General features: G+C 48.3%; 1 protein-coding gene across 4 annotated transcripts in view, besides 8 other annotated features; it reads right to left on the bottom strand.

Moving 5' to 3' along the window:
* Positions 1–21,149, bottom strand: part of SIPA1L3 (signal induced proliferation associated 1 like 3) — a 301,162-nt gene extending 280,013 nt beyond the window's left edge. For 3 of the 4 annotated variants that reach the window (NM_015073.3, XM_017026518.3, XM_047438490.1), the window contains exon 1: positions 20,999–21,149. The gene's annotated coding sequence lies outside the window, so the exon portion shown is untranslated. Of the gene's footprint in view, positions 1–9,062; positions 9,163–20,998 lie in introns of all 4 variants that reach the window. The other variant, XM_047438486.1, reaches the window with a different exon arrangement.
* Positions 2,074–2,143: a silencer, noted in NCBI's record as "silent region_10560". NCBI's record gives its function as "represses an Ori minimal core promoter by ATAC-STARR-seq in GM12878 lymphoblastoid cells {active_cell/tissue: GM12878}" and the evidence as "EXISTENCE:reporter gene assay evidence [ECO:0000049][PMID:35858748]".
* Positions 9,187–9,306: an enhancer, noted in NCBI's record as "active region_14560". NCBI's record gives its function as "activates an Ori minimal core promoter by ATAC-STARR-seq in GM12878 lymphoblastoid cells {active_cell/tissue: GM12878}" and the evidence as "EXISTENCE:reporter gene assay evidence [ECO:0000049][PMID:35858748]".
* Positions 11,737–12,602: an enhancer, noted in NCBI's record as "H3K4me1 hESC enhancer chr19:38406395-38407260 (GRCh37/hg19 assembly coordinates)". NCBI's record gives its function as "activates a minimal SCP1, AML or CMV promoter by ChIP-STARR-seq in naive H9 embryonic stem cells {active_cell/tissue: H9 hESC(naive)}" and the evidence as "EXISTENCE:reporter gene assay evidence [ECO:0000049][PMID:30033119]".
* Positions 12,603–13,468: an enhancer, noted in NCBI's record as "H3K4me1 hESC enhancer chr19:38405529-38406394 (GRCh37/hg19 assembly coordinates)". NCBI's record gives its function as "activates a minimal SCP1, AML or CMV promoter by ChIP-STARR-seq in naive H9 embryonic stem cells {active_cell/tissue: H9 hESC(naive)}" and the evidence as "EXISTENCE:reporter gene assay evidence [ECO:0000049][PMID:30033119]".
* Positions 17,337–17,386: an enhancer, noted in NCBI's record as "active region_14559". NCBI's record gives its function as "activates an Ori minimal core promoter by ATAC-STARR-seq in GM12878 lymphoblastoid cells {active_cell/tissue: GM12878}" and the evidence as "EXISTENCE:reporter gene assay evidence [ECO:0000049][PMID:35858748]".
* Positions 17,517–17,586: an enhancer, noted in NCBI's record as "active region_14558". NCBI's record gives its function as "activates an Ori minimal core promoter by ATAC-STARR-seq in GM12878 lymphoblastoid cells {active_cell/tissue: GM12878}" and the evidence as "EXISTENCE:reporter gene assay evidence [ECO:0000049][PMID:35858748]".
* Positions 20,438–20,497: an enhancer, noted in NCBI's record as "active region_14557". NCBI's record gives its function as "activates an Ori minimal core promoter by ATAC-STARR-seq in GM12878 lymphoblastoid cells {active_cell/tissue: GM12878}" and the evidence as "EXISTENCE:reporter gene assay evidence [ECO:0000049][PMID:35858748]".
* Positions 20,798–21,037: a silencer, noted in NCBI's record as "silent region_10559". NCBI's record gives its function as "represses an Ori minimal core promoter by ATAC-STARR-seq in GM12878 lymphoblastoid cells {active_cell/tissue: GM12878}" and the evidence as "EXISTENCE:reporter gene assay evidence [ECO:0000049][PMID:35858748]".

Here is a 21,330-nt window from a genome sequence, read left to right as displayed (position 1 = left end):
TCAAATGATCCACCTGCCTCGGCCTCCCAGAGTGCTGGGATTACAGATGTGAGCCACCACACCTGGTCTTGCTCGGGTTTGAAAACCACTGCAGTAGCACACAGAGCTTTAGAGTTAAGATACAGCTCTGGAGTCAGACTGCCTGAATCCAAATCACGTCACCATGCTGATACACTGTTGGTGGGAATGTAAATTAGCTCAGCCACTGGGGAAAGCAGTTTGAAGATTCCTCAAAGAACTAAAAATAGAATTACCGTTCGACCCAGCAATCCCATTTCTGGGTATCTACCCAAAGGAAAAGGAACCATTCTACCAAACGACACCTGCACTCCTACGTTCATCGCAGCACTCTTCACGATAGCATGTGAATCAACCCACAAAGCCAGGGAATCAACCCGGATGCCCATCAACAGCGGACTGGACAAAGATAATGTGGTACATATATACCATGGAATACTACACAGCCATTAAACAAGAATGAAATCATGTCTATTGCAGCAACATGGATGTAGCTGGAGGCCATTATCCTAAGTGAATGAATGCACAAACAGAAAACCAAATATCCAATGTTCTTACTTCTAAGTGGGATGCTAAACATTGCGTACACGTACACACACACACACACACACCCCATGTTCTTACAAGTGAGAGCTAAACATTGCATACACACACACACACACACACACACACACACACACACACCCCATGTTCTTATTCTAAGTGGGAGCTAAACATTGCATATACACACACACCCCATGTTCTTACTTCTAAGTGGGAGCTAAACATTGGGTACGTACACACACACACACACACACACACACACACACACACACACGAACAACAGACACTGAGAATTCCAAAAACCAAGAAGGAATGGGGCAAGGGTTGAAAATCTACCTACTGGGGGCTAGGCGCAGTGGCTCACGCCTGTAATCCCAGCACTTTGGGAGACCAAGGTGGGTGGATCACCTGAGGTCAGGAGTTCAAGACCAGCCTGTCCAACAAGGCAAAATCCAATCTCTACTAAAAAATACAAAAAAGTTTAGCCGGGCATGGTTGGTGGAGGCACCTGTAATCCCAGCTACTCGGGAGGCTGAGGTAGGGAGAATTGCTTAAACCCGGGAGGCGGAGGTTGCACTGAGCTGAAATTGCGCCACTACACTCCACCCTGGGTGACAGAGCGAGACTCCATCTCAAAAAAAAAAAAAAAAGGAAAAGAAAATCTACCTATTGGGTACTCTGTTCACTATTTGAGTGACAGGATCTGTACCCCAAACCTCAGCATCACACAATATACTCATGTAACAAACCTTCACATGTACCCTCTGAATCTAAAAAAAAAAAAATCATGCCACCACCTTTTTTTAGCTGCCTGACCTTGAACAAGTTATTCAAATTTAGTTACCTCATCTGCAAAGGGAGAATAATATCTTCCAGGGTTGTCGGGAGGCTTAAAGGAGTGGCTTCATGTGAAGGGCCCGGCACAGTGTCTTGCATGCAGCAGACGCTACATACATTGCCTACTTGCTGCTGCAGTTGTTGCTGCTGATGCTGTTACTACTGTTTGCAGCCAAAGGCTTACCAACTGACACAACTTCCCGACTGAGCTCTTCCAAAGTTGGCGCCATATCTCCTTTAAGGTTATTTCACCCCCACCCGCTCCCACAGGACCGAGGCCAGTGCCCTGGTTCCACAACGACTTGCAAGTCTCCCATCGCTACAGGGAGGTGCACGGCTCCTCAGGCCCCCTCCCCAAGCCTGAGCCACCTGGTCCCCGCAGAGATTCCCACAGACACCTCAAGCTGGGTGCTCTGCCAGCTACTCTGATGGGTGACTGATGCAGAATGCCCACGGGTTCCAGAGAGCACCCCCACCATGTGAGTCACACCAAACACCCAGCAAGAGTCCGCGGGTGCCCCTCCCTCTGGGAGCTGTGATTTCAAAACTGGTGGCACCAAGACGCAGAAAGCCAAAGTGACGAACATCAGAAGCCAGGTGAGGTCCCCGTGGAAAAGGGGCAGCCTCTTGCTGGGCTTAATAGCAAGCCCTGGTTTGAGGCCACAAGTAGGGCAGGGGTTTTCACGCCCTGGTGTTACAGGCACTGTTGGGCCTGTCACTGAAAGAGGATGGTGAGATGCAGGAGGAATCGGGGGAGGACTACCAACCCTCACAGCAAGAAAGGATTGGCCAAATTCCTCATGTTCCTGAAAGGAAGCTGTTAGGCTGAACCTCATAAAATTGCCAATATTCAACCATTCTTGACCCACGAAAGCACAATGTCAGGCAGTCCAACCTAATACAAGACAGGAAACTCACTCAGATAATGTAGTGTCAAGGAACTGGTCACCATCAGGAAACTGGAATTGTGGTGGTCTCTTGGGAAGGGAACTGGGTGCCCTATTTTTGTTGCTTTGGTTCCTTGTACATGTGGTCACTAGTCAAACTTTTCAAAAGTGTAATAAATCGGCCGGGCGCAATGGCTCACGCCTGTAATCCCAGCACTTTGGGAGGCCAAGGAGGGTGGATCACGAGGTCAAGAGTTTGAGACCATCCTGGCCATCATGGTGAAACCCCATCTCTACTAAAAATACAAAAATTAGCTGGGCATGGTGGTGCGTGCCTGTAGTCCCAGCTACTCAGGAGGCTGAGGCAGGAGAATCGCTTGAACCTGGGAGGCGGAGCTTGCAGCGAGCCAAGATTGGGCCATTGCACTCCAGCCTGGCAACAGAGTGAGACTCCGTCTCAAAAAAAAAAAAAAAAAAAAAAGTAATAAATCAATCAACCCTGAAAAATCTTAACCTTCTCAATCAGAGAAAAGACAAACCTGTGCAGGACCCTAAGAGATCTGCAAATATCTCCTCTCTACCCTCATCCCTCCCACTCTCCTGGGCTCATTCCGCTCCAGCCATGTGGGCCTCAATCTTACCAGGCCCCTCACCTCAGGGCCTTTGCACTGGCTGTTCCCACTCCCTCACCTCCTTCAGGTCTGGCCACTTTCCCAAGGAGGCCATCCCTGGCCACCCTTCCCAAAATTTCAACACCCTCCACCTTAACGCAGTCATGTGTTGCATAACACTGTTTCAGTCAACAATGGACCACATTTACAAGGGTGGTCCCACAAGACGACCATGGAGCTGAAAAATTCCTATTGCCTAGTGACATGAGCCACGGGGAGGTCGGAGAGCCATGCATTATTCACCTGTTTGTCGTGGTGTTGGTGTAAATAAACCTACTGTGCTTCCAGTCACGTAAAAGACAATGTAACACATACAATCATGTACAGTACATAATCTTTTTTTTTTTTTTTTGAGACAGAGTCTCCCTCTATTCCCCAGGCTGGAGTGCAGTGGTGTGATCTCGGCTCACTGCAACCTCTGCCTCCTGGATTCAAGCAATTCTCCTACCTCAGCCTCCTGAGTAGCTCAGATTACAGGTGCACGCCACGTCGCCCAGCTAATTTTTGTATTTTTAGTAGAGAGAGGGTTTCACTATGTGGGCCAGGCTGGTCTAGAACTCCTGATCTCAGGTGATCCGCCCACTTCAGGCTCCGAAAGTGCTGGGATTACAGGCGTGAGCCACCACACCCAGCCCATGTACAGTACATAACACTTGATAAGGATAATAAATGACTATGTTACTGGTTTACATATTTAGTATATATACTTTTTTTTTTTTTTTTGAGATAGAGTCTAGCCCTGTCACCCAGGCTGGAGTGCAGTGGCGCAATCTCAGCTCACTGCAACCTCTGCCTCCCGGATTCAAGCTATTCTCCTGCCTCAGCCTCCCGAGCGGCTGGGATTACAGACGCCTGCCACTATGCCCAGCTAACTTTTGTATTTTTAGTAGAGATGGGGTTTCGCCATGTTGGCCAGTCTGTATATATACTTTTTATTGTTATTTTAGAGTGTGCTCCTTCTACTTATATACAAAAAAAAAAAAAAAGCTGTAAAACAGCCTCAGGCAGGTCCTTCAGGAGATATTCCAGAAGAAGGCACTGTTATCATAGGAAGTGACAGCTCCACGTGTGTTACTGCCCCCGAAGACCTTCCAGTGGGACAAGATGTGGAGGAGGAAGAGTGATACTAATGATCCTGTGGAGGCCTAGGCTCATGTGTTTGTGTCTTAGTTTTTACTAAAAGCAGCTCAGAAAGCAAAAAAATAAAAACGGAACATTTTAAATTTAAAAATAGAAAAAAAGCTTACAGAATAAAGATATAAAGAAAATATTTTTGTACAACTGAATAAGGTGTGTTTTAAGCTAAGTGGTATTACCAAAGAGTCAAGGCCAGGTGCAGCGGCTCATGCCTATAATCCCAGCACTTGGGAGGCCGAGGGAGGCAGATCACCAGAGGGTAGGAGTTCGAGACCAGCCTGGCCAACATGGTGAAACCCTGTCTCTACTAAAAATACAAAAACAACAACAACAAACAAACTAGATTACAGTTGGAAGGTGTCTGTAATCCCAGCTACTGGGGAGACTGAGGCAGAAGAATCGCTTGAACCCGAGAGGCAGAGGTTGCAGTGAGCTAAGATCGTGCCACTGCACTCCAGCCTGGGTAACAGAACGAGACTCTGTCTCAAAAAAAAGAAAAAAAAAAAACCCAAACAGTTAAGAAATTTAGAAGTTTACAAAGTAAACAAGTTGCAGTAAGCTACGGTTAATGTATTATTGAGGAAACATTTTTTAAAATAAATTTAGTGTAGCCTAAATGTACCGTGTCTGTTAAGTCTACAGTGGTGTACAGTACTGTCCTAGCTTTCCCATCCACTCACCACTCACTCACTGACTCACCTGGAGCAACTTCCAGTCCTGCAAGCTCCATCCACGGTAAGTGCCCTGTACAGGTGCACCTTTTAAAAAATCTTTTATATCATATTTTTACTGTACCTTTTCTATGTTTAGATACACAAATACTTGCCATTGTGTTACAACTGCCCACAGAATTCAGGGCAGTCACATGTGTGTAGGTTTGTGGCCTAGAAGCAATAGCCTACTCCATAGCGCCTAGGTGTGGAGGAGGCTGTGCCATCTAGCTTCGCAGCAAGTACACTCCATGAGGTTCACACAACAAAAGAGCCTAACAACACATTTCTCAGAACACAGCCCCACTGTGAAGCCATGCGTGACTGCTTCCTAGGCCCTTTGCCTGTTTAATTTCTGCTCCCTCGCACTTATCACCAACTGACACGGTGCGTGTTGTACTTCTTTTTTTTTTTTTTGAGATGGAGTCTCGCTCTGTCGCCCAGGCTGGAGTGCAGTGGCGCGATCTCGGCTCACTGTAAGCTCCACCTCCCGGGTTCACGCCATTCTCCTGTCTCAGCCTCCCGAGTAGGTGGGACTACAGGCGCCCGCCACCACGCCCAGCTAATTTTTTTTTTTTTTTGTATTTTTAGTAGAGACAGGGTTTCACCGTATTAGCCAGGATGGTCTCGATCTCCTGACCTCATGATCCTCCTGCCTTGGCCTCCCAAAGTGCTGGGATTACAGGCATGAGCCACCGTGCCCAGCCGTGTTTTACTTCTTTATCTTGTTTGTTGATTGACTCTTCCACTTGAAGGTGAGCCCCAGAAGGGTGAGAACCCTTGTCTGTTTTCCTCATGGCTGCACCCTGGTATCTAGAACAGTGCTCCCCTCACTGAGGACTTGATAAGTTTAAAAATCAAGGCCGGGCTCAGTGGCTCACGCCTGTAATCCCAGCACTCTGGGAGGCCGAGGCAGGCTGATCAAGAGGTCAGGAGATCGAGACCATCCTGGCTAACACAGTGAAACCCCGTCTCTACTACAAACACAAAAAATTAGCCGGGTGCGGTGGCGGGTACCTGTAGTCCCAGCTACTCGGGAGGCTGAGGCAGGAGAATCGCTGGAACCCGGGAGATGGAGATTGCAGTTAGCCAAGATCGCACCACTGCACTCTAGCCTGGGCGACAGAGCAAGACTCTGTCTCAAAATAAAATAAAATAAAAATCAAGGCAGGGCTCAGTGACTCACACCTGTAATCCTAGCACTTTGGAAGGCTGAGGTGGGTGGATCACCTGAGATCAGGAGTTCAAGACCAGCCTTGTTAACATGGCGAAACCCCGTCTGTACTAAAAAAACACAAAAATTAGCTGGGTGTGGTGGCAGGCAATTATAATCACAGCTAGTAGGGAGGCTGAGGCAGGAGAATTGCTTGAACCCGGTGGGGCCGAGGTTGCAGTGAGCTGAGATTGTACCAGTTCACTCCGGCCTGGGTGAAACAGCGAAACTCAATCTCAAAAAATAAAAAAAATCAGACACGCCATCAGCATTTGGGGTTTGCTGCCCTCAGATCCAACGTGCAGTCCACACTGGGAAATACACACAAATCAAGCCACCTATACTGAAGACAGAGCTCATGACATTCCCTCCACACTAGACTCACCTGAAAGCCTCTCTACTAAAAGAACTGCAAAAGGTGCCTTGGAAAGAAAAACAGGCCAGGCATGGTGGCTCACGCCTTTGATCCCAGCACTTTGGGAGGCTGAGGCAAGAGGATTACTTGAGGCCAGGAGTTCGAGACCAGCCACGACAACATAGCAAGAACCTGTTTCCACAAAAATAAAAAAAAAATTATCCAGGCGTGGTGGCGTATGCCTGTGGTCCCAGCTACTTGGGAGGCTGAGGTGGGAGGATCACTTGAGCCCAGGAGTTCGAGGTTGCGGTGAGTTGTGATCGTGCCACTGCACTCCAGGCTGGGTGAAAGAGCAAGACCTTGTCTCAAAAAAAAAAAAAAAGAAAGAAAAAGAAAGGACAGAGATGAAGATGGTGCTGGGGGTGGAAGTTTATGGAAGCTTGAGGGGGTGCAGGACTTCCCTGTCTTCCTCCCTGCAAACCAACAGCACAGCATAGAAAAACGGGGCACCAGAGGAAAGAGCTCACCATCAGATGCAACAAACGGCGCCAGCACTGGCAGGATCTGACCAACCAGCACTCCTGTTCCCATCAACCATCTCTACCCACCAGGCAGCACACCATCAGGAGAAGCCCCCAAACGTTTCCCTCTTTTCCTGCCACTTCCGCATAAGAATTTTACCACATACTCATGTGCTGTTGTTCCAGACCCCCAAAGCACAAATGCAGTGATGGGAGCGGGGAGCGCACGCCGGCCGGCCGTAAAGGCGTTGTAGCTGCTAGCTTGATTAGAAATACCATCAGGTCCCAGGCACTGTCACAAGCTGCATCTTGCCCTTTTTCTTCTTTTGTCCAGAGTCAGAACTGGAAAGGGGCACGTTTCCTGCCTCCTGCCGCGGTGCTGTGGGCACACCAAAGACTGGATTCCGGTTCGTGTGGGGCCTCAACAAAGACCCACCAGAGGAAGGCCGGGTGTCAGAAGATCTGTGTACGTCTGTCCTGAGGGGAGGGTCTGAGGCTTTTTGTTGAAACAAGTCCTTGGAAAAAATGTGGGAGGGGCCCCACAGGCAGGTGCTAGAGGGAAACAGATCTCAGGGAAAAGGGACCTCAGTAAACTGACTCGAAGGCCAGTGCCACGGTGTTCGCTGCTCAGAGAAGCCAGGGCTGCTGGGGCCTGGCCGGGTGTTCCCACTGCTGCCAGACACGGCTTTATCAAAGGGGCTTCCAAAGCCTTGGGCCAAGTATTGGCTCATATAATAGAGACAAAAAAAAGAAAAAAGCAAACATTTGTATTATATAAGTGGACTGAGCAGAGGCAGGGAATTCCCCTGTATGTACACTTGAGCTTGAAATACACAAATGCTGGGTGAAATTTGTTGTACTTGTTTTTAACTTCTCATGATGATACATTTCAAAACATCAAGGCAAAAAAAGAGTATAATAAGCCCTCATTGTCTGGCTTCAATAGTTCCACTCACAGACAATCTTATTTCATCTCTTATTCACCCATGCACACTTGAGCCCCTGCACTCTCTGCCTGTCTATATTATTTTGAAGGAAATCCGAGATATCTTAACAGTTTAATCATAGATATTTCAGCATGAGCATCTTATAGATAAGGACTTTTTAGGTTGGGCATGGTGGGCTCATGCCTGTAATCTCAACACTTTGGGAGGAAAAAGGGAAGATCGCTTGAGTCCAAGAGTTCAAGACCGGCCTGGGCAACATAGAGAGATCCCATCTCTACAAAAAAATTAAAAATTAGCTGGGCATGGTTGTGCATACCTGTAGTCCCAACTATTCAGAAGGCTGAGATGGGGGATCGCTTGAGCCCAGGAGGTAGAGGCTGCAGGGAGCTATGATCATGCCACTGTACTCCAGCCTGGGTGATAGAGTGAGACCCTATCTCAAAAAAAAAAAAAAAAAAATTACAAACCAAGAAGCACTGGCCAGAGGGGTATTAAAGCCTCAGGGCCCAGCCAGGCACAGTCGCTCATGCCTGTAATCCCAGCACTTTGGGAGGCCAAGGTGGGCAGATCACCTAAGGTCGGGAGTTCGAGACCAGCCTGACCAACATGGAGAATCCCCATCTCTACTAAAAATACAAAATTAGCCAGGCATGGTGGCGCATGCCTATAATCCCAGCTACTTGGGAGGCTGAGGCAGGAGAATTGCTTGAACCCGGGAGGCAGAGGTTGCGGTGAGCTGAGATCGCGCCACTGCACTCCAGCCTGGGCAACAAGAGTGAAACTCTGTCTCAAAAAAAAAAAAAAAAAAAAAAGCCTCAGGGCCCAAAGGGGCCTGGGATCTGTTGTGGGGCTCCCCCAAAACAGGGGGAGACCACGTGTGGAGTGAGGAGGCCGGAACAAGTGAGAATGGTCCTGCTTGTCTGCCCCATCTGTTCGTCTGTCTGTTCATCGAAAGACCACACAGTGAGTGTTTAAGAGCCTAGACTCTGGAGCCAGTGACTTGCATAGGAATCCTGAATTTGAGACTCACCAGCTCTGTGACTTGAACTTCTCTGTAACTCAGTTTCCTCTTACGAGACATGGTAATAACAACAGTACCTACCCCAAGGAGTGGTTCTAAGGATTCAATAAGATATTAGCTGAGAAGCAGTCAGAACAGTGCCTCCTACATAGTAAGAGCTCAGTGAATGCTGGCTCGTATCATTAATTCAACAGATACTTACTGAGCATCTCTCACATGCCAGGCACTGTCCAGCAGTTGGAGATAAGTGTGGTGAGCACCATCTGGGGACAGGAACAAGCTGAGAATCTCCAGCACCTGCCCTGTTTAGGTAGAAGGCCAGGATTCAACCTGCACCTGACACCTCCAAAAAGTCTAGAACCACGACTCTCATAGAGTTGACAGAGGAAACCACTGTGATGTCCCTTCCCCACACCCCATCCACTGGCAATGTCTTTGGAGCACAGCAAGGGTAAGACACATTCACAAGCTAAGCTCTGCTGTTGCTTCCACCAGAGCCCACAGCACCCACCAGAATACACAGCAATGAGGGCCAGAGTCAGCGACACAACAGGTTTCATGTCCAAAGCAGCAGTTTGTTTATTTATTTATTTATTTATTTATTTATTTATTTATTTATTTATTTTGAGACCGAGTCTCGCTCTGCCGCCCAGGCTGGAGTGCAGTGGTGTGATCTTGGCTCACTGCAACCTCTGCCTCCTGGGTTCGTTTGATTCTCCTGCCTCAGCCTCCCAAGTAGCTGGGATTACAGGTGCCCACCACCATGCCTGGCTAATTTTTTCTATTTTTAGTAGAGATGGGATTTCACCATGTTGACCAGTCTGGTCTTGAACTCCTGACCTCAGGTGATCCGCCCTCCTCATCCTCCCAAAGTGCTGGGATTACAGGCATAAGCCACCAGGCCTGGCCCCAAAGCAGCAATTTAGAAATGAGCTTTCAGGCTGGGCATGCTGGCTCATGCCTATAATCCCAGCACTTTGGGAGGCCGAGGCAGGCGGATCACAAGGTCAAGAGATTGAGACCATCCTGGCCAACATGGTGAAACCCCATCTCTACTAAAAATACAAAAATTAGCTAGGTGTGGTGGCGCGCACCTGTAGTCCCAGCTAATCGGGAGGCTGAGGCAGGAGAGTCACTTGAACACAGGAGGTGGAGGTTGTAGTGAGCCAAGATCGCGCCACTGCACTCCAGCCTGGTGACAGAGCAAGACCCTGTCTCAAAAACAAACAAACAATCAAACAAACAAAAAACAAAGAAATGAGCTTTCAAACACGCCAAGACCTTTCCTTGCCTTCCTTAGTCCCCCTGCTCACCCTCCTCCCAACTCCCCAAAGACCCCTCTCTTTCCTGGGAGGTAAGGTTCCAGGTTCCAGCAAACCTAGAGGTCAATTTAAGGAGTGGACCTCTCAATCATTCAGGTCTCAAACCAGCACACCGACACCAATGTAAACCCAGAGATTAATGCTGACAAACTGGGACTTCTTTTTTTTTTGAGACAGGGTCTTTCTCCGTCACCCAGGCTGGAGTGCAGTGGCACAATCACGGCTCACTGCAGCCTTGACCTCCTGGCCTAAAGCAATCCTCCCACCTCAGCCACCCATGTAGCTGGGACCACAGGCACAAGCCACCATACCCAGCTAATTTTTTAAATTTTTGTAGAGGTGGAGTCTTGCTTTGTTGTCCAGGCTGGTCTCAAACTCCTGGGCTTAAGCAATCCTCCTGCCTGGGCCTCCCAAAATGTTAGGATTACAGGTATGATCTTCTACGACCGGCCTCAGAATCGATTTTGTGCAACAAGTCCCTCCTATGGTTTTCATTGCTCAAAACTCAGACCCTATCCCCCTTAAACACCCTCCAATACAGCATATAAAACAGGTTTAAAAGTATACACTCTGCACCTGAGCTCAAATGCTGCCTCTGCCACTTCCCAACTTTGAGCAAGTGACCTCTCATTGCCTTATCTCAGCTTCCTCATCTGTGAAATGGGAATAACTGTAGTCCCTGGCACCTCCGAACACAGGCAACACCCACCAACACTAAGCACAGTGCCAGGCACATACAGCAAGTTTGATGGACAGTAGCTCTTTGGTTAGCTATAACTGCTTGTGATAAACCTGCTTTTCATCATACATCTGCCCTTCTCCGCCAAGATAAAACAGGAGTGGCATGTCAGATCTATCACTGAACTACCACCTTTGATTTACACGTGAATCTCATACCCTCGGCCAGTGCTGTCCGATGTGGTAGCCATTAGCCACATGTAGCCACCGAGCACTTGAAACATGGCTGGTACCAACTGAGATACGCTGAAAGTGTAAAATACATATTGTATGTCAAACGCTTAATGTGGAAAAAAGGAAGTAAAATAGCTCACTAATAATTTCTATATTGATTACATGTTGAAATGATGTTTTAGATGAAATAAAATATATCATTAAAATTACTTTCCTGCTTCCTTTTACTTTTCAAAATATGGCTACTAGAAAATTTTTAATTACCTATATGAGCCTCATCAGTGACCCACATTTTTTTTTTTTTGAGAAGGAGTCTCACTCTGTTGCCCAGGCTGGAGTGCAGTGGTGCAATCTTGGCTCACTGCAACTGTCACCTCCAGGGTTCAAGTGATTCTCTGCCTCCGTCTCCCGAGTAGTTGGGATTACAGGCACATGCCACCAGACTCAGCTAATTTTTGTATTTTAAGTAGAGATGGGATTTCACCATGTTGGCTAGGCTGGTCTCGAACTCCTGAACTCAAGTGATCCACCCGCGTCAGCCTCCCAAAGTGCTGGGATTACAGGCATGAGTCACCGCGCTCGGCCCCACGTTATATTTCTAACAGACAGCACTGTTGTGGGCTTTTGAGAACCAGTGTCTTATTCAACTTTATACTGTCAGTGTCAAGCATGGACCCTGACACACAGGGTAGGTGAAGAAATGTTTCACAGATGGACAGATGAAAGATGCTCTCCATACTTTCAGTCTTTTTTTTTTTTTTTTTTTTTTAGACACAGAGTGGTGTGATCATAGCTCACTGTATCCTTGATCTCCTGGGCTCAAGGTGTGGTAGTGCCTGGGCTCAAGTGATCCTCTCACCTCAGCCTCCTGAGTAGCTGGGATTATAGGTGCACATCACCAAGCCTGGCTAATTTAAAAATTTTTTGCAGAGATGAGGTCAGATGCGGTGGCTCACGTCTGTAATCCCAGCACTTTGGGAGGCTGAGGCGGGAAGACCACCTGAGGTCAGGAGTTTGAGACCAGCCTGGCCAACATGGTAAAACCCCATCTCTACTAAAAATATAAAAATTAGCCGGGTGTGGTGGTGGGCGCCTGTAATCCCAGCTACTGTGGAGGCTAAGGCAGGACAGTCATTTGAACCCAGGAGGCAGAGGTTGCAGTGAGCTGTGATCATACCACTATACTCCAGCCTGGGCAACAGAGTGAGAACTGTCTCAAAAACAAAAACTTTTTTTTTTTTTGCAGAGTTGGGGTCTATGTTGCCCAGACTGGTCTTGAACTTCTGGTCTGAAGTAATCCTCCCACCTCGGCCTCCCAAAGTGCTGGGATTACAAGCCTGAGCCACCATGCCCACCCAATATTTTTAGTCTTAAAAGCACCCACTACTGTCCTCACATCTAACCAGGGCTACCCTTCATTCAAAATACGCCCACGCTACAGCAAATCAAAGTGCACACAGGTCATGATGCCGGAGCAGGGACCTGGGGCCCTTACAGGTCCAAGAATCATTGTCTTAGTTGATGGGCTATAGTATGATACTTTAACAGCCCACATGGCTAGTGTGCTTAAAACACCATTTCCAGCTGGGTGCATGGCTCACATCTGTAATCTCAACACTTTGGGAGGCTGAGGCCGTCGGATCACTTGAGGTGAGGAGTTGGAGACCAGCCTGGCCAAGATGGTGAAACCCCATCTCTACTAAAAATACAAAAATTAGCTGGGAGTGGCGGTGGGCGCCTGTAACTCCAGGTACTCAGGAGGCTGAGGCAGGAGAATCGCTTGAACCCAGGAAGCGGAGGTTGCAGTGAGCCCAGATCACACCACTGCACTCCAGCGTGGGCAACAGAGCGAGCCTCTGACTCAAAAAAAACAAAAACAAACAAACAAAAAAAAACACCTTTTCCAGCCAAGTCCCAAGTCCCCTTGCAAAGCTCACCCAAAGGAGACACCCTGCTCCCTCTCCTTGGACACTACACTTTGTTTCATGCTAACCTGTGCCTGGTATGGCAACCAAGCAGTCAACCTTGTTTTACTTGACAGGCTCTGCTGGAGGGTCTTTAGTTTTGAAACCACCACCAAACCATCCCTATCGTGTCTCATTGAGAGCAAAAATGATGCCACAACATCCCAGGCGGCCCCTGCTGCCACATCAATTAGGTACTAAATATAGTCTAAAGTGCTTTGCATGTCAAACAACAAGGAAAGGAAATGCTGTGTCCACTTCCTCAATTTGCCTCTGCCTGGTAAGGAGGGCCCTGGAAGAGTTTAGAATGCAGGTGAAGAGCATGGAGGGTGGAATCAGTTTCCTCATCTGTAAAATGAGTTTGATCAAGTTAATTACTTCACTGGACTACTGTCAGGATTAACTGAGGAATGTGTGAAATGCTTAGAAAAGCATCTAGCACAGAGTAAGCACCAGGTAAGCTGCTATCATTATTATTATTTTATAAAAAAGTAGGCCAGGTATGGTGGCTCGTGCCTGTAATCTTAGCACTTTGGAAGACTGAGGGTGGAGGATCACCTGAGCCCAGAAGTTCAAGATCAGCCTGGGCAAAACAGGTCTCTACAAAAAATAGAAAAAATGTGGCCGGCTGCAGTGGCTCACACCTGTAATCCCAGCACTTTGGGAGGCTGAAGCAGGCAGATCACCTGAGGTCAGGCGTTTGAGACCACCCTGGCCAACATGGTGTAACCTGTCTCCTCTATTAAAAGTACCAAAAAAAAATTAGCCAGGTGTGGTGGCACATTCCTGTAATCCCAGCTCCTTGGGAGGCTGAGGCAGGAGGATCACTTGAGCCCAGGAAGCAGAGGTTGCAATGAGCTGAGATCATGCCACTGCACTCCAGCCTGGGCGACAGAGCAGACCCTGCCACAAAAAAAAAAAAAATTAAAGTAGTATCAACTTGAAAACTAGGAATTAACTCTTCTCCAGTCAAACTGATACTCTTTGTAGCAAACTCACTCCCACCTCCGGGCCTTAACACTTGCTGTTCCCTCTACCTGGAATGTTCTTTCTTCAACTTTCGGCATAGCCAGTGCCACTGCTCATTAAGGTATCAGTTCACATGACTCCTCAAAGAGGCCTGGGAGGCCTTCCCTGACCATCAAAGCTAAGGTAACCACCGCCATCTTGCCCCATCAGCCATTTGCTCTCCACTTACCCTGTTAAATTTTCTCCATCACAGTTAAAACTATCTGAAGAGGCAGGATCAGGATTTTTTTTTTTTTTTTTTTTTTGAGACGGCCTCTCACTCTGCCGCCCAGGCTGGAGTGCAGTGGTGCAATCTAGGCTCACTGTAAACTCCGCCTCCTCCTGCCTCCTAGGTTCACGTGATTCTCCTGCCTCAGCCTCCCGAGTAACTGGGACTACAGGCGCCTGTCACCACACCTGGCTAATTTTTGTATTTTTAGTAGAGACGGGGTTTCACCTTGTTAGCCAGGATGGTCTCGATCTCCTGACCTCGTGATCTGCCCGCCTCAGCCTCCCAAAGTGCTGTGATCACAGGCGTGAGCCGCTGTGCCCAGCCAGGATTTTTTTTAATTAAAAAAAAAAAAAAGAAAGAAAAGGCTGGGCACAGTGGCTCACGCCTGTAATCCCAGCACTGTACAAGGCCAAGGTAGGCAGATCACCTGAGGTCAGGAGTTCAAGACCAGCCTGGCTAACATGGCAAAACCCCTCCTCTACTAAAAATACAAAAATCAGCAGGGCATAGTGGCGCATGCCTGTAATCCCAGTTACTCAGGAGCCTGAGGCAGGAGATGGGCTTGAACTTGGGAGGCAGTGGTTGCAGTGAGCTGAGATTGTGCCAGCCTGGGTGACAGCGAGACTCCATCTCAAAAACACAAAGTGAAATGATCCTGTTTATTGTGTGTCTTCCCGGGCTAGAATGGCTAGAATGTAAACCCTAGGACAGCAAGGATCTTGTCTGTCTTGTTGACTGCTGAATCCTCAGTGCCTAGGATAGGACCCTGGCTCACAGCAGGGTCTCAACACATCTGTCAACTCAATAAAATAAGAATAGTAGCTAACTGCACAGGGCTAATGACAGCCTAATGTGCTGAAAGTCTTGCAGACATTTCATTCAGTCTCCAGCGACCCCCGAGGTAAAGACTACTATCATACCCATTTTGCCAATGAAGAAAAAAGCTCAGTGCACATCTTACAAGTTAGTGGCTATACTGTGATTTGAACTTGGTCTGCCCGCCACCTAAGCCACCTTCCAACCATGGCACACTTCTCGCAAATATGAGGAGTGATATTTCCCACTGATGCTCCACCACCAGCCCCTCACCCCCACCACCCACTGTGGTCAGGGCACTTTACTGGCTCCTGTCTTCCTGGGCAAATCTCCTCCCTTCTTTCAGCGGCAGCTGGATCCCTCACCTTAGGCCCCCAACATCTCCAAGCGGGATCCCTGCAATATAACTTTTTCTTATTTCTACCTGGTGTTTCAAGTGATTGAGTTGGCTCTTCCTGTGAATTTCTCTGGGTTTGAAAGAACACATGTAGGCTGAGGCGGGAGGATCATTTGAGGCCAGGACTTCGAGACCAGTCTAGGCAACATAGTGTGAGACCCTATCTCTACAAAAATTTAAAAATTAGCTGGGTGTGGTGGTGCACACCTGTAGCCCCAGCTACTAGGGAGTCTGAGGTGGGAGGATCACTTGAGCCCAGGAGTTCAAGGTTACAGTGAGCTATGATGACGCCACTGCACTCCAGCGTGGGCAACAGAGTGACCCTGTCTCTAAAAAAAAGATCACAGCTGGCCCTGCCCTGAAGGCTTGACATAGATAATCTTATGAAACCTCTCAACAACCACCCTATAAGGAAGACACTGGTATCATCCCCATTTTCAGATCAGGACACTAAGGCTCAGAAGGACACATGATTTGCCCAAGGTATCACAACTAATATAGGATAGAGTCACAGTGTGAACCCAGACCATGTGGCCCCAGAGTTTGTGCTTCAGCCACTGGGCCATGCTGCCTATGTGAAAGGATACTTTTTATACTTTTTTTTTTTTGAGACAGAGTGTCACTCTTGTCACTCAGGCTAGAGTGCAGTGGTACAATCTCGGCTCACTGCACCCTCCACCTCCCTGGTTCAAGCAATTCTCCTGCCTCAGCCTCCCAAGTAGCTGGGATTACAGGCTCTCATCATCACACCCTGCTAATTTTTTCTTTTTTTTATAGATGGAGTCTCGCTCTGTCGCCCAGGCTGGAGTGCAGTGGCACAATCTTGGCTCACTGCAAGCTCTGCCTCCCAGGTTCACGCCATTCTCCTGCCTCAGCCTCCTGAGCAGCTGGGACTACAGGCACCGGCCACCACGCCTGGCTAATTTTTTTGTATTTTTTAGTAGAGACGGGGTTTCACTGTGTTAGCCAGGATGGTCTCGATCTCCTGAGCCACCACCAAGGATACTTATTAGATGTGTGTTTGCTGAGGTAAAGAAATCTCAGAGGGGCCAGGCGCGGTGGCTCACGCTTGTAATCCCAGCACTTTGGGAGGCTGAGGTGGGCGGATCACGAGGTCAGGAGATCGAGACCACGGTGAAACCCCATCTCTACTAAAAATACAAAAAATTAGCCGGGCGTGGTGGCGGGCGCCTGTAGTCCCAGCTACTCGGAGAGGCTGAGGCAGAGGAGAACGGCGTGAACCCAGGAGGCGGAGCTTGCAGTGAGCTGAGATTGCGCCACTGCACTCCAGCCTGGGCGATAGAGCAAGACTCCGTCTCAAAAAAAAAAAAAAGACATCTCAGAGGAACAACCTAAAGGACCAGCAGTGGGGGAATGCTGGAATAAAGCGTGGTCTCTCTGCACTGAAGAATGTGGGTACAGCTGTTGAAAAGGATAAGCCAGATCTATATGTAATGACTTGGAAGGACATGCCCAGCCATTAATTGAAAAAACTGGGTTACAAATAGGTGTAGCTTGATCCCTACCCCCTCCTTTTTTGGGGAATGGTATGGGAGGAGGAAGAAAACAGTCGATACACACACACACACACACACGCACATACATACAAACATAATCAATATAAACACAGAAAAAGATAACTGAAGCATCTGTCCAAATCACAAGGGCAGAGAGCACATCCATTTTGTTCATTATGCTATCTCCAAAGCCTAGCAATAGATACTTAATAGATACTCACTGTCTGAATAAATGGTTATCTCTGGCGACATGGGGTTTTGGAGTGGAGGGTGGCACTAGGTATTTTCCCTACACCTCTGTATTGTTTGACACGTTACAACAAGCATGAATTTCTTGCATAACTTTTTTTAAGCTAAATTCAACCCAATCACATACATACACACACGCACAAAAGGTCATGACCAAAATAGTCCTTAAAAAAAGGAAGCAATAGGCCAGGCACGGTGGCTCACGCCTGTAATCTCAACACTTTGGGAGGCCAAGGTGGGTGGATCACCTGAGGTCAAGAGTTCGAGGCCAACATGGCGAAACCCCATCTCTACTAAAAATACAAAAATTAGCCAGGCATGGTGGCATATGCCTGTAATCCCAGATACTCAGGAGGCTGAGGCAGGAGAATCGCTTGAACCTAGGAGGTGGAAGTTGCAGTGAGCTGAGATCGTGCCACTGCACTCCAGCCTGGGCCACAGAGCAAGACTCTGTCTAAAAACAACAAAAAGGAAGCAATATCAGTCTTGAAGAATACACAAATGCACAAACTGGTACAACAGCCTCTCATTCTTTTTTTTTTTTTTTTTCTGAGACAGGGTCTCACTCTGTCACACAGGCTGGAGTGCAATGCTGCAATCACAGCTCACTACAGCCTCAACATCCCGGGTAGCTGGGACTAGAGATGTGTGCCACCACACCTGACTAATTTTTTGTAGAGATGGGGTTTCGCCATGTTGCCCAGGCTGCTCTCAAACTCCTGGGCTCAAGTGATCCACCCACCTCAGCCTCCAAAGTGCTGGGATTACAGGCATGAGCCACTGCACCCTGCCAAATAGCCTCTCATTCTAATAGCTAAAAACAAACACTTTATTTTAAAGGAAATGATTATTGAATTCTTTTATTAAAATGTAAATACATTTAATTTACATTTTACAAGTTACTAAGACTATGTTTGAAATATATCAGTAAAATATATTTTACAGCAAAAAAATGAGGCACCAATCACTGCACATTCTAAATTCCACTTTTGATTTACCACCTAACAACTGCAATGTCTGAAACACAGACTCACATTTAACTCTTAGATCATTCATTCTACACTGACTGCTAAAAAGCCACGTGCTGCTTTTTTTTTTTTTTTTTTAAGCCACTGCTTTACTTCTTCAGGTTAGCAAAATGCTTAGGTAAATTTGTTGGCCATCACAAATGTGATTGAGGCCACCGGTTTCTATCATCAAATGAAATCACAATGACAGGTTTCTGACAATAAACTCAACCTAAGGGGAGCGCTAATAAATTCCCTTCCCAGCCTCTTCTTGGGTGTGTGGTATGTGTGCTGCCTCCTGAAATGCCCAGGATGGCCACCCTCCCACACGGGATATTCTAAGCCGCTGACACCATCTAACTTTTCTGAAAGAAATTAACAACTCAGCCGATCTTTACCAGGCTAAAATCACAGAACTGGGTCCCCTGAAAGCCAGGCTTTCATGCCACATCCACAGCCACTGCTGTCTAGCCAAGTCTATAACATCTTCTTGCCCTTATTAATACATATGTTACATAGGTTTACGTATGTTAATCCCTAATGACTTGACTTAACCTTGTCACAGCCAGGCGCGGTGGTTCATGCCCTACAATCCCAGCACTTTGGGAGGCCAAAATGGGTAGATCACCTGAGGTCAGGAGTTCAAGACCAGCCTGGCCAACATGGTGAAAACCCCATCTCTACTAAAAAAAAAAAAACTAACCACGTGTGGTGGCGGGCACCTGTAATCCCAGCTACTCAGGAGGCTGAGGCAGGAGAATTGCTTGAACCCGGGAGACGGAGGCTTCAGTGAGCTGAGATTGTGCCACTGCACTCCAGCCTGGGCTATGGAGCAAGACTCCGTCTCAAGCTGAGGGGAACTTTCAGTGCCCATCAGATGGGAGACCAATATGGGCCAATGAAATGGTGTTTCTATGAAATGGCAGCTTCGTCCTTCTTGCTAGTTGACTGGATATGGGAAGGCTGGGGAAGAAGAGCAACTCCCAGGTTTCTGGCTTAGGCAACCAGGTCAATGCTGGCACATTTGCCAAGATGGTGACTACTGGTTCCAGGAGGAGAAGGAGTTCAGGTTGGACATGCTGAGTTTATGGTGCCCAAGAAACAGCCACTTCTTTGAGCCACAGCATCAAAGAAGCACAGGCTCCACATCTGGAGCTGGAGTGCAGGGGACTCAGTGGCTTTGGGACACAAAGGCAAAAGCTGGCAGCACCAGGACAATAATTAAAGCACTGGAGTGAACATACTGGCTCTGTGGGGAGGGGTGTGTGAGCAGGGGACTGCTGATGGCAGGTCAGACCCATTTCTTCTTAGGCCTTTCTACTATAGTGTGTTCCATAATTTAATCTTTGGTAAGTAAAATTTGGGAGGGAGGGGGAAGATAAAAAAACACTAACTTTGTGCTCACTCTGCCATGTAGGTACAAACAGAAGCAAAAAGGGCCTATTAAAAAAAAAAACAGCAAGATACATTTAATCATTTAATAAGCACTTACTGTGTGCCGGGCCTTGTGCAAAGCACTAAACATGAATTATCTCCTGGAACCATCCAAACAATCCTGGCACAAAAGTCCTATGACTACCATTCCACAGATGGGACACTGAGGATGGGAGCAAATGTGTGGGGGAGCTCAGGGCTGTCATGTCACAGCCCACAGTCAGGCAGTCTCTGGGCCAGATGGAGAATATTGAAGAACAATTATAATACATAAGAGCTGCTACTTAGTGAGAGATGGCGCTGGACTAGAAATACAATCTCAGCAAATCCTTACAACCCTTTGAGAGTGATCTTGTTATTATCCCATTTTGTAAATGAGGAACCTGAGGTAGTAGGAAGGGAAGTCAACTGGACCAGTTCTGAATCTGGCCCTCGGGGGTGACCAATACTACGGCCAGAGCCCCACCCTCAGAGGGTCTCTGGGCCACTAGGAAAACGCTGAATAAATGGTACCATTTACTGAGCGTTATATGCCAGCTGCTGTGCTAAGCACTTTACACATGGTATTCTCACTGCATCCTGAAAACAACTCGACGAAGTGGTTGCTATTTAAATCCCCATTTTATAGATAGGGAAACCAAGGCACAGAGAGGTGAAGCCAGTTGCCCAAAGTCACACAGCTGGTAAATGTTCAAATTTGAACCTGGGGTCTCTCTGCCTTCCAAACCAACGCTCTTAACAAAATAATCTCGGTTAACAGCAGCTAGCCTGCATTGGGTGCTAACTAAGGACTCACCTCTTTACATGCACACGCTCAACTAATCCTCACCCTATGCAATCGATAACATCTTCACCTCATTTTTCGGAGAGCTAACAATAACCCAAATACGTAGTAAGTGCCTCCTATGTGCCAAATGTTTTATTATATTATCTCAACAGAGTCTCCGCCAAGATGCTCTCCTACTCCGTTTTACTGCAGGGGAAATTGAGGTTCGGCGCGGTTTTCCCAGATCGCGGCTCCCGAGTGGCACAGCCGGGACGCGAATCCACCGCTCCCCGCCTCCAAGCTCTTCACCACAGCGCCGGGGTGCACGCCTGGAAAGTTGAGCCATGCGGGCACGAGTCCGGCTGGGTCCGGAGGGCGCGAGTCCCGGCGCCGCCGCCCCCCACGGCCAGTACCCACACCCGGCCGTCCGCCCGCGCTGACCCTCGGGGTCCGGGCAGCCACCGATTCCCCGCCACCCTTGCGCGAGGCCGATCCTGCACCCGGAGCCACGTACCTGGACGCCCCGGCTGCCCGCCTCGCGGGCCCCACGATCGCGGCGTCCAGCTCCGCGCCGCTCGCTGGAGACGCCGCCAGCTCCGGTGGCCCGAGTGACTTCCAGGCTGCCCACTTCCAAGCCGCTTCGCGCGAGTCCTCCTGGGAACTGTAGTTTCGCCCTAGCCGGCCGCGAACTCAAAAAGAGAATGGCGCGCGGGGGCTGCCGGGAGCCGTAGGCGCACCGCCGCGCTGCCTCCTAGGAACGGTAGTCCGCTGGTCGCCTTCGTGCAGCTCCAGTCTGTAGAGCACTTCCGCAGCCCCGAGGGGCGTGAGGGAGGGAGGTGTGTCTCC

The sequence above is a fragment of the Homo sapiens genome, chromosome 19 (genome assembly GCF_000001405.40).
Source record: "Homo sapiens chromosome 19, GRCh38.p14 Primary Assembly".
Taxonomy (NCBI): Eukaryota; Metazoa; Chordata; class Mammalia; order Primates; family Hominidae; genus Homo; species Homo sapiens.
This window is presented reverse-complemented; position numbering and strand designations above follow the sequence as displayed.